Below are 17,041 nucleotides of genomic sequence, written 5' to 3'. Positions count from 1 at the left end.
TGTGTGTATACATAATTTATTTATTTAGATGGAGTCTTGCTCTGCCACCCAGGCTGGACCTCAGTGGTGCGATCTCGACTCACTGAAACCTCTGCCTCCTGGGTTCAAGCAATTCTCCTGCCTCAGCCTGCCGAGTAGCTGGGACTACAGTCACCTGCCACCACACCGGGCTAATTTTTGTATTTTTAGTAGAGATGAGGTTTCACCATATTGGCCAGGCTGGTCTCAAACTCCTGACCTTGTGATCTGCCTGCCTCGGCCTCCCAAAGTGCTGGGATTACAGGTGTGAGCCACAGCACCCAGCTATTTATAGATATTTATAGAATATGACCTCAACTATTTAAACATATCTGTAAGGGTATAAGTACTTTGATAACAAAGAAGCAATACATACTGATAGAAACTAGCTATCATGTCAACAGTAGTTATATTAGGTAGAGAAATTATGTGAGATTTTTATTTTTTTATATTTTACTAATCTTCTCAATAATGGTTGCTTATAAGTTTTATAATCAAGAAAAAAAGGTTTCTAAAGTTTTTGCAAAATGGAAAGTTATGCTTCTTTATATACTAAAGACAAAAACAAACTTCCTATTTGAATACCTTTGACTTTTACTGCAGACTTACAGACCCTTGAAAGAAAAGGCAATCCCCTCCCACTAGTTTTGGTGTCATTCTCCCCATCTCTCCCTTCACTTCCACCTTGGTCTTCTTTCTACTTCCCACCTTGGCTAGTGGTCTCCACCCAAAATGCTTGCTTGGCTTAATGGTTAGAATTCAGGGAAAAAGAGATCCCGAATTGCTAATCTAAACTAAGATTATACATGTGGGAAATAATAAAGAGAAACCAGGTAGTAAATAAGATTTGGAGGACTTAAAATACCCAGACTTTAATTCCTCTAAGATTACAGTTGTTAATCATGTTTTTATATAATATTATCACTTAACATTTAATTTCTAAATATAATGTTCATGAGGAAAAGAGAAAATAGCTTGGTTTCTTTCCTCACCGAACTGTTCTCCTTAGTATCTTCTAGACGTTCCAGAACTGATGTCAGATTTGGCTCATCAGAGTCCACAGACCATATCGGTGAAGAAGATGAATAGGATTCCTGTTTAACCCAGAGACACCTATGTTAAATGTTTACATACAGACTAACCCAAATATGCAATTAAACCACACCACTAAATGGCAAGATGACCATGGATTTAAACAAAATGTATCAGGGGGAAAAGGCAACACGTTTAAACCCATGTGAGGAGCTGGACTTCTGAGACAGCCATTCTCCTTGCATAGCACTGTCTGCTGCTACAGCTCATAGAAGTCAACAATTTTCTTCAACACTGGTAGGCAGCCTTTAAATGGCCCTGATCACCCTCACCTCCTGCCATTCACACCCTTGTAAAATTCCACCCCTGGACCTAGTGACTCACTTCTAACAAAGAGAATACAGCAAAAGTAACATCGCTTCTGAGGTGAGGCTACAAGGAGACTACGATGCCTGCCTTGGTCACCCTTCTCCTGCTCTTTCCATTGCTCCCTCTGATGGAAGCCAGTTGCCATGTGATGAGGTGCCCTATGGAGAGGCCCACGTGACAAGGTATTGTAAAAGGCCTCTGACCAATGGCCATCTAGAAACGGAGGCCCAGTCCAGCAGCCTCTGAGATGAATCCTGCCAACCTGATCTTGGAGACAGATTCTCTCCCTATCCTGCCTTGGGATGATCACAGCCACCACCAACACCTTCACTGCCTGGTGAGAGGCCAAGCCAGTGAACCCAAGGTAAACTGGACAGAATCCTGACCCACAGAAACTGAGATAATGTTTGTTATTTTAAGCTGCTCAGTTTGTTACAGAGCAATAGATAACTAACTCAAACACCATAAAATTCTAATATTTTATTCTATCACACAAACCAGGTAATACCAAGTAAATGCCATTACTATACATATATTTTTGTAACACAATTACATGTGATTTTTTAAAAAAGCTAATGAACTATGCATTATGTGCTTTCACCCACTAACAGACATTTCTGCTGTTACTTTGTACTGTTCTCTATTATAAATTGGGGGAAAACCATTATTATTATATATTAGCTTCAGAATAACTAGGTTGAAGTCACAGAAAACAATTTTGCACAAACAACTTTAGGCAACACTGCTTTGAAAACTGTAATCTGAATTAAAGCTGAAGCCACAGAAACCAAATATTTACTGAAGGTTCCTTTTTAAGAAAAACAAGATGGGCCGGGCACGGTGGCTCGCGCCTCTAATCTCAGCACTTTGGGAGGCCGAGGTGGGCGGATCACGAGGTCAGGAGATCGAGACCGTCCTGGCTAACACGGAGAAACCCCATCTCTACTAAAAAAATACAAAAAAATTAGCTGGGCGCGCTGGCGGGTGCCTGTAGTCCCAGCTACTCAGGAGGCTGAGGCAGGGGAATCACTTGAACCCGGGAGGCAGAGGTTTCAGTGGGCTGAGATGTCCACTGCACTCCAGGCTGGCGATAGAGCAAGACTCCATCTCAAAAAACAAAAAAAAAAAAAAAAAGAAAAACAAGTTGTATTGATGGAGGACATCATTAACAGTATATCTCTTCAATAATGGTTTATTTTACTATTCTCATTCTTCTCATTCCTCTCTTACTGTGTTCCAAATCTCTTTACAGGCTAAAAGAAACTCTTCAGAATTACTCCTACAGGCTAAAAGAAACTCCAGAATTACTCCTATTCTTTTTTTTCTTTTTTTGTTTTTTTTTTTGAGACCGAGTTTCGCTCCTGTTGCCCAGGCTGGAATGCAGTGGCACGATCTCAGCTCATCACAACCTCCACCTCCCGGGTTCAAGCAATTCTCCTGCCTCAGCCTTCCTGAGTAGCTGGGATTACAGGCACGTGCCATCATGCCCCACTAATTTTGTATTTTTAGTAGAGACGGGGTTTCTCCATGTTGGTCAGGCTGGTCTCGAACCCCTGATCTCAGATGATCCGCCCACCTCGGCCTCCCAAAGTGTTGGAATTACAGGCGTGAGCCACTGCGCCCAGCCAATCCTATTCTTAAAGAACACCACTTACTGAGTATTGCATTTTCTTCTATAAATTCTTCAGCATACACTGAGAATACACCATATGGACTATTTTTACGCTTTTAATTTTGGGTTTTTTTTATTTTGGCTAAGGAAATTGCAATTAGATTTAGGACTTCATTCTGTTAGGTTAGTATTTTCTAGTAAACTTCAGCGTAAGCAAAATAAAATATGTGTTGTTGCTCTGGACTGAAACCCCTCAAAACCATATTTTAAAAATTACAAAAAAAAAATTAACTGAAATCAAGTTTTTAAAAACCTTGTAGATGAAAAGATATGATATCTAGTACGTCTAAGTACCTATTTCAATGGTTCCCAAAGTGCGGCCCTCAGACCCCCAAGTCCAAACTATTTTGACAGGAATATTAACATGGTGACATTTGCTGTAAGTGTGCAAATACAATGGTGGGTAAAAATGCTGGTACTTTAGCACAAACAAAGGCAGTAACACCAAACTACTACTAGTAGTCATGGTATTCTTCACTATGAACAGGAAAGGTTTAAAAAGGAAGGGTGGGTGGGGCATGGTGGCCTACGCCTGTAATCCCAGTGCGTCGGGAGGCTGAGGTCGACGGATCACCTAAGGTCAGGAGTTTGAGACCAGCTTGGCCAACATGGTGAAACCCCATCTCTACTAAAAATACAAAAATTAGCTCGGTGTGGTGGTGCATGCCTGTATTCCCAAATACTTAGGAGGCTGAGGCAGGAGAATCACTTGAACCTGGGAGGCAGAGGTTGCCTTGAGCTGAAATTGCACCTATGTAACTCCAGACTGGGCAACAGAGCAAAACTCCGTCTTCAAAAATAAAAATAAAAAGGAAGGGCAACAAAAGGTTAGTTTCATTTAAGAATGTCTATGATAAGGTTGGGAATTTTGGCTCATGTCTGTAATTCCAGCACTTTGGAAGGCCCAGGCAGGGGGATCCCTTGAGCCCGGGAGTTCAAGACCTGCATGGGCAACCTGGTGAAACCTCATCTCTACAAAAAATACAAAAATTAGCTGAACACAGTGGCTGCATGCCTGTAGTCCCAGCGTCTTGGAAGGCTGAGGCAGGAGGATTGACTGAACCCAGAAAGTTGAGGCTGCAGTGAGCTGTGACTACGCTACTGCACTCCAGCCTCAGCGACAGAACAAGGCCATATCTCAAAAATTAAAAAAAAAAAAATGTCTATGATGAAGCAGTGAATATTTTACTATATCTAAATCCTTGAATATATCTTTTTAATATTTCAAGTGATGAAATGGGAAGTATACATGAGCATTCCTACAGGCTGCCTGAGAAAAAAACCCTTGAGTGACTAAGTCATGAAGTGAATTAACCACTTTAATGGAATACCATTTTTACTTGAAAGGCTGACTGACAAAAAATGTTATTTTAACTCGCATTTCTGGCAGATATTTTCTCAAAACATGAGATTCTGTCATTTCAAGGAAAACAACAGACAGGCTATAATAAAATTCAATAACAAAATTACTAATAAAATTCAAGCTTTTGAACAAAAAATTAGAATTTTAGAAAACTTATGTCCACCATCACTTTCCAAAAGTATTCTGATGAGATTGATGGTGGTATTGATGAATGTATTTTGATACTGTACAATCAAATGTATCAACATGTAGAAGATCCTAGTGAACCACTATTTTATAAGTGACCAATGCACGATGTTGTAATATCATGCAAGGGTGGAAGATCCAAAGTTCAAGAAAAACCAAGATTTGATGGAGTATCAAAAAAGAAGCCTAGGCAACATGGCAAAACCCTGTCTCTACAAAAAATACAAAAAGTTAGCCAAATGTGGTGGTACACACCTGTAGTCCCAGCTACTCCGGAGGCTGAGGTGGGAGGATCACCTGAGTCCCCGGAGACTGAGGCTGCAGTGAGCTGTGATCACACCACTACCTTCCAGCCTGGGCAACAGGGCAAGACCTCATCTCAAAAAATATATATATATCCACAATGATCTAAAATGTTATCTGTATGAGATTGGTCTTTGTTCACATTTTTTCAAGAAAATATCACACAATAAATTGAATGCAGAAGCAAACTGACATATCAATTTGCTAATGACATGTCAAACATCATGCAAATGACATATCAAACATCAAAAAAATTTGCAAAAGGTGTAAGATTGTACTACTTTGGGTTTAGAAATTTTCTTTTCATAAAAGCATTTATAACAATATGTGGTGAGCTTTTAAAGAATATTTTAAATATTTCTGATTTAATTTCTAGTGATAAATACCAATAGATATACCCTACATAAACCAAAGCTCCTTGGGCCCTCAATGTATTTTTAAGAGTGTAAAGGAATCCTGACCCCAAAACTTGGAGAACTGCTGCCTTCCCCTCCACTTTCTTGCTTCCCTAGAATTTCTTCCTTGGAAGAAACATCCTTTTGCCATTCTATATTAACTTACATAGTTCCACTGAGGCAAGTTTTGCTACCTCCCTCCCATCTTTCCACCTCTCTCTCAACACAAAGCCTGACCAAAGGATTCTACCAGCCCACCCCATTTCCAGTGATTAGCTGTCAGGTGGGCTAAGCCAAACAAATCTGGGTTTTCCCTGAGACTAGACCTCTCTTTCTGGGAGAGATGGAATCACAGGGACAAGGTTGGCCACCTTGGGGTAGTGAGAATTCATCCTGCCTAAACAGGGAGAATTCAAACAAGTTTCTAGAAAGCCAAACTACTTTCTAGAAAGTCAAAGATAATTATATTTTTTGCCATGACTGTAAGAATGCCCATTTCATTGCACACTTTCTAACATTTTTACCAATCTGATAAATAAAAGCTGGTACTGAGATGAAAAAAAGGCTGGGCACAGTGGCTCACACCTGTATTTCCAACACTTTGGGAGGCTGAAGTGGGCAAATCACCTGAGGTCAGGAGTTCAAGACCAGCCTGGCCAACATGGTGAAACTCCGTCTCTACTAAAAATACAAAAATTAGCCAGGCATGGTGGCATGCGCCTGTAATCTCAGCTACTCGGGAGGCTGAGGCAGGAGAATTGCTTGAACCCAGGAGGTGGAGGTTGCAGTGAGATCACGCCATTGCACTCCAGCCTGGGCGACAAGAACAAGACTTCATCTCAAAAAAAAAGAAAAAAAAAGTTCCCATACAATATAATTTCTTCCATCTCTGGAAACAAATTCAGCAATGAGAACTGAAAGTCACCACGTGGAAGGTTTCAAGGATTTACGTCTACCTACTGATGTCTAAAGCATTAGTTAAGTTACAAAAAAATACGCACACACACACGCACGCACACACACACATACCCGTATGTATTCAGTACCAGAAAACATGACTGACTACATGGTAAAGTCATCCAACAGAAAGCACACAATAACTGAAGGCAATGTAGAGGAGTAAGTTATAACATGGATCTACAATACTGTTGAGTGAAAAAGCAGATTACAAACAAATATCTGATTTTTAAGGGAGAGGAAACATATATAAGCACAGGAGAAAAGAGGTGAGCAGATGACTGGAAAGATACAAATTTCTGACAGTGGCACCTTCTGAGTGGTAGAATTACATAGGTAATATTTTCTAGTTTTGCCTAAAAGTTTTCTAAATTTCTTAAAATAAGAAGGTTTTGTTTTCCATATTACAAAATATCCATCACCCCAGGAAATTTAACCTTCGGCACAAACTCTACATGTTCAAAGTTTGTTCAGTTGAATATTTAAGAGACAATCTATTTTGAAAGACATTTAAAATGACCAATATTTAAACCTATGCATTAATATTTTTCAATCACGTTTTAAATTTTGTAATTTTGATAAGTTTTAGATCCATCTTGAAAAGATAAATTTTCTGTTTGTCTTTAAAATATTACCTACAATATGCCTGTTTTTATACAGTTAATGGTGCTCAAAAATCGCAATATAAATTCAGGCAGTGTTCCTTCTATAGAATGTGTAAGTGCTTCTAATACTGCTCTTTTTCACCAGTTATGAAAACACGGAACAATTATCTAAGCATCTAATTATTCAGGTCCTTTGTTTCTCCTCCATTCTGTTAGTTTTATACTAATTTCAAGGCCTGTGAAGATGAAGTTGTCTGTGACAGCTACCACAAAGGTTACTATAAGCAGACAAATTTCCAGCAAGTTTATCACCACTACCATCCCACCATAAAACTGTCTCAATCAAGGGCAACACAATTCAAGGTTAGTCAAGACAACCTCTTTACCTGTCACTGCTTAAGAAAAGGATTTTTTGGTCTTATTTAGAAATAACTTTATCTATTTTTCTCCATAATTCCACTGAGACCAATGTGTGCCTCTATCTCAAGCACCAGCAAGCAAAACTGCCTGCCAGTATGTTCAGTTTTTGTATCTTTCCAAATGTAGGGCACAGCTATCTTTTGATATCATAATTTTTTGAAAACTGATGCACAAACTTCTTCTTGAAAGTTCAGCCAGGTGCGGTAGCTCACACCTGTAATCCCAGCACTTTGGGAGGCTGAGGCAGGCTGATCACGAGGTCAGGAATTCAAGACCAGCCTGGCCAACATGGTGAAACCTGTCTCTACTAAAGCTACAAAAATTAGCCAGGTGCGGTGGCAGGTGCCTGTAATCCCAGCTACTCAGGAGGCTGAGGCAGGAGAATTGCTTGAACCTGGGCAGCAGAGGTTCCAGTGAGCCAAGATTGCACCACTGTACTCCAGCTTGGGTGATAGAGTGAGACTCCATCTCAAAATAAAAAATAAAAAAAAGAATTTCAGATATACAGCAGCTGTAATTCTTCTGAAGGCTGCTTATGGGACACATTACTTTCATAATTTGCTGTTCAATAAATGTGGGGTGGAGAATAAAGTAAATTGACAGAATTACCATATAAAATAAAATTCTAAGTCCTCTGACAACAAAAGAAACCACACACACACACACACACACACACACACACACACACACACACACACACACAGCTTTCCCTGCTAATCATTTTACAACAACCAAGTAGCTAACCCAGAGCCCACAAAAGCAGAGTAAAAATTCTAACACTTGGTAAAATAAAAATGCACATATATCCCTGTCATCTAAAAAAAAATGCTTACATATTCAAAGACAGCAATTGTAGCTACTGAGAACATCATTGTAAGCAAACTGAGGCAGAGAAAACAAACGTGCTGATGAGGATTTGAAACACCTAAGCTGCAGAAACCCACTGGATGGTTTCCTAGGTTCCGAGTTAGCATTATCTTTCAGAACGATCTTCTAGAAGAGATCACATAACACTGTTACAAAGGATCTGGAGAAAGGGACCCTGGCTTCATCACTCTGGCTCTCCAGTCATGCTTTACATTTTCACTTCTTACACTCTCTTTCATAGGAAGTCAATTTACAGGCCTCCATCAAGCCCTTAGAGACCTTTTTGTACTATCCATGACAAGTTCTTGATGTTATGTCTGCACTTCTGACAAATTCTTAGCAGTTAACTTACAAGGCAGTTAAGGTTTTTGTTCAAGCACAATATAGCTAGAATAGGGTCATACATTCAATAAAACAAATATTTACCAAGCATTTATTGAGTGGAAGATAAAAAGCACAAAGCATAATTATAAAACATTCTCCCCTGCCACCATAAAAATTTTTTTTAAAGCCTTACAGAATACAGCATAACATAACCAAAGCAAAAATAGTGAGGACTAAAGAGGGGAGGAAGGGGAAATATCAGCATGAATTAAATATGACCCAGAAGAGCCTTGATGGTCAGACACGTAAAGACAAATTGGGTAGGGTTAGGGGGTGGCTGTCAGGGGCACATTCTACAGGGGAAAAACAGCTGATACAGAAGCCTGAAAGAAAAAGCGGGCAGAGCACCTGGACAGGACTCTTACCTGCTGCATCCAGGGTACAATGCGCCTTTCCAGAACACAGCAGCGACCCGGGATAGAGGGATCGCTCAAACAGCACCAGAGGCTGCATTCCAACTTTTCCTCCATCAACGAGTCCGTTTTCATTGTTAGTTTCTCCTTAAACACGATTGGCTGAACATGCGGGAACAAGGAAAACCTGACTGAAGAACGAGGCATTTAAGCTTAAGGGCCTTGGATCTGGGCGCGGTGGCTCAGGCCTGTAATCCCAGAACTCTGGGAGGCAGAGATGGGTCATTTGAGGTCAGGAGTTCGAGACCAGCCTGGCCAACATGATGAAACCCCGTCTCTACTAAACAACACAAAAGTTAGCCAGGCGTGGTGGCGGGCTCCCGTAATCCCAGCTACTCGGGAGGCTGAGGCAGGAGAATCGCTTGAACCCACAGACTGTCAAGAGATGGAGGCTGCAGTATGCCGAGATCGCTCCACTGCACTCCAGCCTGGGCGACAGAGTGAGACTCCATCTCAAGAAGCGCCTGCCACCATGCCCGGCTAATTTTTGTATTTTTAGTAGAGACAGGGTTTTACCATGTTGGCCAGGCTGGTCTAGAACTCCTGACCTCAGGAGATCCAGCTGCCTCAGTCTCCCATAGTGCTGGGATTACAGGAATGAGCACTGCGCCCGGCCAAAAAACCGAAAATCTTAAAGGCCTTTCCCCTTCCCTCACTGGGCTCAAACAACAGCGGGAGCCGCCCTGCCACTCCCCGTCGCGGTCCAGGGGAGCAGGCTAGCTGACTGAGGGCGATCATGGGCCCCAAAAGGTCTGCGGGCGACGCGGGCTCCCACCTCAGGGCGCAGCGACTGGGGCGAGAGGTGCCGGCAGCCCCCAAGCCAGCCCCGCGGCAAGGAGCCAGAGAGACGCGCCCTCCCCCTCCTCCCACGCAAGCCTCACACAGCGGGGCGGGCCAGACGCGGGAGAAAGGGGCGCGCTCGCCCCGCCTGGGGAACCGGGGCCTCTCCCGGGCAGGCTCGCCTTTGTCCCGGGACTCTGGGCGCCTCCTCTCCGCCCTCGCCCTGCCCCGTGAGGCCGCCACTGGGCGCCTCACCGTGATGTTGCAGTGGAGCGTGAGCTGCGGCGGCGGCTCCTGGTTCTTGTGGAAGATAGAGGCCAACAACTTCAGCTTGGCCTTGAACCCTCACACGGACATTTTACTCTCACCTCTGGCGGGAGGGGCGCGGAAGGTGAGCCCGTCGGGAGCCGCTGTCACGGCCGCAACCACCCGCGGGACCTCTCGGCGGCGCTCTCCCAGCTCCGCCTCTCCCTGATGCCTCAACTCTAGTCGGAGTAGGGCTGGAAAATGGCAAGGGGCACCGAGGCCTCTGCGGGGAGCTGTGTGGCGGCCTGGGCGGCTGCTCCCCTTGTAACAGACTCCACCGACAGGAGGCGCTGCTCCTGTCAAGCCGCAGCTTAAAAGGGCAACAGCACCACAGCCCCCGCTATCGCCTGGGAAAGGGCTGCCCCTACCCCGCTCCCGTCCCTCTCGCCCCTCACACCCGTCGCCCCTCACCCCTCAACCCGCGCGCCCCCTGCGCACCCGTTTCGGCGGCTGCAGGAGTCCAGAGCATGCGCGCGCTTCCGGCTGCCCCTCCTGGCCTTGACCCAGCACTGCTGGACCCATCTGGTCCGTTCTTCACACTCGCGGACTGGAGGCTCCGGGCAGCACAACCACCAACTCGTGTGTGTGTTGGGGTGGGGGTGGGGGGCAGAAAACCACCAACTCGTGTGTGTGTGTGTGTGTGTGTGTGTGTGTGTGTGTGTGTGTGTGTGTGTGTGTGTCTCCCAAGGGAACAGCACTGCTGAGTTCAGGCTATCAGCTCATGGACTGTCAGCAAAATACAGTCACAAGAAGGCTATGTGCTGTTTTGTCTCTTGCAGTGACGTCATGTTGCTCATGTTTTATGTTTTTCAGAGTTCATTAGTTTCTGTTTGCTCTCAGTTAATATCCAGCTCAATAGATTGTGTAAGTAGAATACCCCCAAACTGAAAGTCACCTACATAAAATATAGTGAAAAATATGTCACCCACTTAAACTATAGTTGAAAATATGTACTCATTAGTTTTGTGTAGCCAACACTGGATAATGGGTAAGGGGAAAGGATCCCAGGGCTAGACTGCCTGGGTTCAAGTTCCGATTTCCTGCTGGCTGTGAAATACTTGACAGCGTTCAGCCTCTGTTTCTTTTCTTTTTTTTTTTTTTAGCTTAATCCCAAATATGATAGTAAGTCTCAGTTTCTTGATCTGAAAAACAGAAATTATTCAATGACAGTCTATGTGAAAACTTTAAAGTTTTCAAAGCCACTATCTAGCTTAGGAAAGTCCTCAGCTTTAGGGGTTAAAGTTTTTAAAACCACTGCCTGGTTCAGGAAAGCCCTCAGCTGTAGCCATTATTAGCTATGATTATTATTGTGGTGGCTACACATACATTAATGAGGCAGGAAAATGCTCAAGGATAACAAGCAAGTATCCAGATTATCTCATCAGACCAAGACAGATGCATATGCATGCATGATCATGTTTTAGCTCAGAGCCATTTGTCTAAAAGGCTCTTGAACTCAGAGGCCCAGGAGTATCAACTTTGCTTTGCAGTGGAGCCATCGCTTTTGTTAATCAATGAAATTGACATAATGCTCTTCTTTTTTTTTTCCTTTTTAGCACCAACCATGTGCCTAGAGCTAACTGTGTTAAGAAGAGCATGCTTCAAGTGGCTGGAGTGAGCAATTCAACTTGTGGAGGAATGAGAAGTGACAGTGTTGAGACAAGCAACATAAAACCCCAGGGTAAGGTAGAAATCACTGAAAGTCAGGCAAAGGAACTGGCGTCCAGTAATGAGTCAGGCTTTGCCAGCCTCTGGCCCTACAGATGGCTCTTTGCAGAGGAAAAAATTAAGCCAGGCCCGAGGGCACAGATCCTAAGGGAATGCTGGCAGCTCTAGGCTGTCTATGAGAGTCCAGAGATGCTGCTTCACCCTGGGGCTTTAGGCAAGTCCCTTTCCCTCCCAGAGCCTCAGCATCCCTTCTAGCAAATGACGTTCTGCCTTTCTCCTAGGATGGCTGTGGGGATCAAGGGAGACAGTGGCCATAGGGATACTATGTTAACTGCAGATGCGGCTGTAGGAGCACTTTGCTAACTTCCAACGTGAGTTCAGACTCTTCAGGCTATTTGGCACCCAGATCTATGGTGAGGTGTGACATATGGGATGTAAAGTTTGATGCCTGCTCCGACTCCAGTCTTGCTAACACACACGAAACCTTTGGTAAATCATGACCCTGCCTTGGGGAAAAGGGCAGTCTGGGAGAGCTTCTTCAAGGCAGCCTGGCTTCAATGCAGTCTGGGGCATGACTGAGATAGGCATACGTGGTGAGGAACTGGAGGGCAACTGGGTAAAGAGCTGCAGTGTGGGCAGAGGTGTAGTGTGGGTCACATCGCGGATAGCCACTGGCCAAAGCAGGGAACAGAGACAGAATGAGGAAGAGCTCTGTGGGGAGGGTGGGGCACAGGGTGGAGAACCTTCAAAGTCCAAAGAGTATGACTTGTTGGGATTCAACGCTGTAGGCAGTAGGGAGCCATGGAAGGCTCTTAGGTGGAGAAATGACAGCCGGACATTAGTGAGCAAGCCCTGTCTCCCTGAGCAGCATGGGTGGTCCTCTGAGCACGCCAGGCACGAGTGTGCAGGGAGCTGGTGCAAATGCCTCTGTGTGCGGGTGAGCATCTGTGTTGTGACTCTGCCCACGCATGTGCTTCAGCGTGCCGAGTGGCTGCACGCCCCAGATCCATGCGGCACGTGCCGGCCGGTGAGGGTGCTGGGCATTGGGAGGTGGCGGGGAGGGCGACGTATGCGTGTTGTTTGTGGGCATGTGTTAGAGTGTGCATGCGGGCCGTGGGGCCTCACAGCATGTGTGTGCACACTCCGGCATGTGCGTGTGTCCCCCACCCCCAGGCCTGCCCCACCCATGCATGTGACCTGCCATGTGATTTGAAGCTGTCTTTCAGAATCACTATCAGTGGCCCCTGAGGAGCGTCAGCCATGGTAGGTACATGCCTCACTGCCTGCTGCATGAATGGTCTGCCTGCCCCGCTGCCCCAGCTCCACACAGGGGGCATACCTGGAGCCTCAGAGCCAGGCTCCCTGCCCCTCCCTTCTGGAGCTGCAGACTTGCTCTTTCCTCTTTCTGTCCTTGTGCTGCTGGCTGTCTCACTTTGCTCCCTGTGAGCCATGGGACTCAGTGCCACTGCTCAAGGTCTCCATGGCTGAGCCTGGGGGCTCTTACAACAGGCTCCATGCCCAAGGTGGCAGTTGTGGAACCATCAGAGAGGGCACAGAGCTCATGGTTTATGGTGTAGGGGCTGGGAGCTTGGAGGGGGTTGTGTGGGGGGCTGGACTCAGGCGGCCAGAGGCCTGGGAACATCATCCTGGGCACGCCGTACCTGTCACGCAGTCTGAGTCATGCTGCCAGGGCAGGTATCCAGCTCCCAGCCTGGGAGTGCCAAGAGCCAAATCCACGGCAGATTAGGGGTGATAGTCACGGTCCCACGTCCTCTATCTGTCAGCAATCCAGTGGTGATCTAGGATAAAAGCCTGAGAGTCCTATACACGCGGTCATCCCACAACACACTTCATAGGCCATGGAAGGACACACAGCCCCCTTCCCTCCCTCCCAGGTACCATGATAGCTGCTAGCGTGCGACTGAAGGCAGGGTCCCTGGCCCCTGCTGAAGCACTACTGCTGGCCAGCAGGCTCACGCACCTTGGCCTGTTGCTTCTAGGGGTTGCCTGTGCTATTCAGCCAATAGTGCTGCTGGCCCAGCTGAGCTCCGCCTAGAGAGCTCACTTCCCTTTCCTGCCACGGAGTCTCCCTCTTCTGCTTTTCCCAGCAGGAAGGGCCCAGCCTCACCTATGTAACCTGCAGCCCCCCGCCAACCAGTTAAGGCTCCCCTCTTAGACTTAGAAGTCTATGGCCAATGGCATCCGGCTACCTGCCCTCCCTGCCTTCCCCAGGGTTCCTCAGAGGACCCTGGGCTTTCTGATGGCCCAGAGGGGCCTCTGGCATTCACTCCAGCCAGCCATCCCTTATAGCTCCACCATTTTGGTTCAATCAGTGTTCCTTCTCTATCAGGTCTGGTGGCTGTTGGATGGGGCTCTCCAAGCAAGAGGTGGCCCTGGGCCAGTGCGTTGGAAGACATGGGGACCACAGAAGAGGGAAGCCCGAGGGAGCTGGCATTGGTCTGAACTGTGGGTGGATGGGTGGATTGCCTGGGTTCCATGAGACAGGCCAGCGTGTGTGGGGTAGGGAGGGCCGCCGCAGTCCCCAGGCACTACCTATGAAGCTCCAGCTTCTCCCTCCATCTCCCTCCCCTTTCCCTTCCAGCCCCTCTTTTCCAGGAACCTTGCCACGCCCACACCTACGCCCTCCCCTCCCCGGCCCTCCACAGCTGCTGCAGCGCACCCATACTCTGCACTTGCCTCACCAGCTCTGGCTTTTCTCTAACCCGTTTTCTCTCTGCTTTCTCTCCAACTGCCAGCTGATCGGGTCAGGCAAGTCCATCCCGTCCTGAGAGCCCCAGGCCCCACTTCGACCTCTAAACACATCCCTCCTCTTCTCAGAGACCTCCCTTTCCAAGCCTGCCTGGGCGGGTGTCCTGTGACTTGACAGTGGCTCCCCCAGCCCCAAAGCCAGCCCCCTTCTTCTGTGACTTAGTCTGTTGTAGTGGTGAGCTGACACGTCCAGGTGTGACCGTTGCTGAAAACTTGTGCCCCCTCTGTGGTATGCCCCTGCCCTGTTCTATAAATAGCTATAAATTCTCTCTCTCACACACACACACACACACACACACACACACACATATATACATATATATACGTGGCCAACTGCCTCACCTCTAGCACTGGGAATCAGTCCCGTGCTGTGCTTGTGGAATCTTGTAGCCCAGCAAGAGGAAGCTGTCTCCTGACATCGCCCCTCCAAAGTGCACCACCTCCAGTGAGCTTCCGGGACATGCGCGGCCTGTGGACAGCCAGCCCCCGCCATCCCTCCCGCCCTTCTGGCCAAGCATGGCGGTGCTGTGCAGGCAGCTGTGTGGCCTGACAGTCTCTACCAGTCCTGCTGTCCCTTGGCTGAGAAACCCATTTCTGGATGACAGAGAATGTGTCCTCTGCTGGCTGTGTTCTCTATGGAGCTCAGGGGATGGAAAAGGCCAAGCCATTTTTAGGGTGCTGTTGGGAGCAGTGAAAAGGTCACACCCTTTTCAAGGGACACTTTTCCTGGAAAGTCCCTGGAGCTTAGCTGGCTCTTACCCTGTGAAGCCAGCTCTGGCCACTAAGGGACAGGGCCCTGAACTCAGCCTGGAGGGAACCTGCGGGGCAGCCGGCACTCTGGAGGGACAGACAGGCCACCCGGTGCAGACAGGAGAGGGAGGCAGGGGGACAGAACGGAAGACACCTGGGGTGGATGGAAGTCAGTGCCCTTGGGCACTGGTATCTGTCTTCCCTGCCACAGCTAGATCAGGCTTCTCAACCAGTTGGCTGTCAGGGCCAGAGTGTACTCCGTAGGCGCCATGGCAGTCCCCATGAAATCCACCAGGTGTCACCAGGCAGCATACAGGTAACAGGCCTGGAAGGTCCCCAACAGCCCAGCTGGACATGCTGAGACACTCTGGGGCTCCTCATTCAGTGGGACAAACTGCAGGACCCAGTGAGGGAAATGGGAACATACCAGGCCGAGCAGTATGGCTAAATCCATTTATTCCAAAATCAAAAGCAAAAAACAAAAAACAAAAAACAGGAGTCCCATCACCAGGCAGCCATGACCCCATCCCCGCCTGCTTCCTCGCTCCTATGCTAGCAATAAATAAGTTTCCCAGCCGCGAATAATTATAAGAACCTCTTCCTCATATGCCAGCTGCAACCTCCGCTAGGTACGATACAGAATGTTACACAGCTACAGTATGTACACGGGGGAAGGGGGGCCACCCCCAGCAGCCTGTGCCCTGGCCTGGTCTACAGTTAACTCCACTGTCCCGCCTCAGCTGCCTCTCTGAGTAAGAAGATGGGAGCCCCCCTGAGGGAAAAGTTGCTTTGGTGAGAGTAAGAAGGCCGTCAGACCTCCTCCAAACAAACCAACTCCACCAACCTCTGGCTCTTAAATAACAAACATCATCATCCAGAAATGTAAGGACTCAGCCTTGGTCAAGGTGGTAAAGGGTCTGTTTGTCTCCCTCCATTAGACAAGGGTCTTGTCTTGCTACCCTAATGGTAAAGGGCTGACTGGGGAGGGGTTGTAGGGACATGGTGGGGGTGAAGACTCCAGACCCACTTCTCCAGGCTTATGCTGACAGGGGCCTGCTTTTATTTATTTTTATTTTTATCCCATGACTTTTTTTAAATCCTGTAACTAATTTTTCATAACTTTTTAAAATAACTTTTCATAAAACTTTTTTTTTACTTTTTTTCCACAACTTTTTTTTGCCACTTTTCCACAGTATTTTTTTATCCTGTAACTTTTTCATCCCACAACTTTAATTTCTGTTAACTTTTTTAGTTTGTGTTCTTTTAATAAACACACTTACATAGTTACAATTTTGTAAGAATAAAAACCGATTACCTCATGCCAAGCATGCCGAGAATTTGCAGAGTCTCAATACCCAATACTATAGTTTTCAAGACACACAAAATTTTTAGGCAAAACAGCACCTTGAAACAATTTAATAATGTATTACATTACAGTAGCATCACAGCAGCAGTCAATAATGCCACTTTAGACAAAAATCAGTATTTCCATTATGCATTCTGTTTATAAGAATTCATAAATCGGTAAAAGTCATTCTAAGAAAACTTGGCAAATACAGCTTTGGACTGGAATTGGCATTTCTTTGTCTACTTTTCCTTCCCCTAGATTCTTTGTTTTAAACTACAGTATTCATATTTTAAAATGTTTTAAATTATTTTAAGATGTTAATATAGCAGTTACATTTTTGAATAGTTATTTGAAAGTGACTGTAAGATAAAGTTTTAGAGAATCTATTATGGATAGGGTTGATTTACATTTTCACATTTTCTAAAAATCAGCTTTG

General features: G+C 46.2%; 1 protein-coding gene and 3 pseudogenes across 3 annotated transcripts; 2 read left to right on the top strand and 2 right to left on the bottom strand.

Moving 5' to 3' along the window:
• On the bottom strand, window positions 865-9,159 carry UBE2Q2P7 (UBE2Q2 pseudogene 7; annotated as a pseudogene).
• On the bottom strand, window positions 875-10,659 carry UBE2Q2P16 (UBE2Q2 pseudogene 16; annotated as a pseudogene). Its single transcript, NR_166151.1, has 3 exons — window positions 10,509-10,659; window positions 8,937-9,086; window positions 875-1,112 (listed from the first exon to the last, which is right to left on the bottom strand). The product of NR_166151.1 is annotated as a UBE2Q2 pseudogene 16 (transcript).
• LOC124903544 (uncharacterized) lies at window positions 9,608-11,619 on the top strand. Its single transcript, XM_047433425.1, has 2 exons — window positions 9,608-10,155; window positions 10,884-11,619. Exons 1-2 carry the CDS (start codon window positions 9,721-9,723, stop codon window positions 10,956-10,958), a joined length of 510 nt encoding a protein of 169 aa, XP_047289381.1. The 5' UTR covers window positions 9,608-9,720; the 3' UTR covers window positions 10,959-11,619.
• A 490-nt stretch (window positions 11,620-12,109) lies between these two features.
• Window positions 12,110-16,547, top strand: DNM1P41 (dynamin 1 pseudogene 41; annotated as a pseudogene). Its single transcript, NR_033787.2, has one exon. The product of NR_033787.2 is annotated as a dynamin 1 pseudogene 41 (transcript).
• Window positions 16,548-17,041: the final 494 nt, after the last annotated feature.

The sequence above is a fragment of the Homo sapiens genome, chromosome 15, assembly GCF_000001405.40.
Source record: "Homo sapiens chromosome 15, GRCh38.p14 Primary Assembly".
NCBI lineage: Eukaryota > Metazoa > Chordata > Mammalia > Primates > Hominidae > Homo > Homo sapiens.
This window is presented reverse-complemented; position numbering and strand designations above follow the sequence as displayed.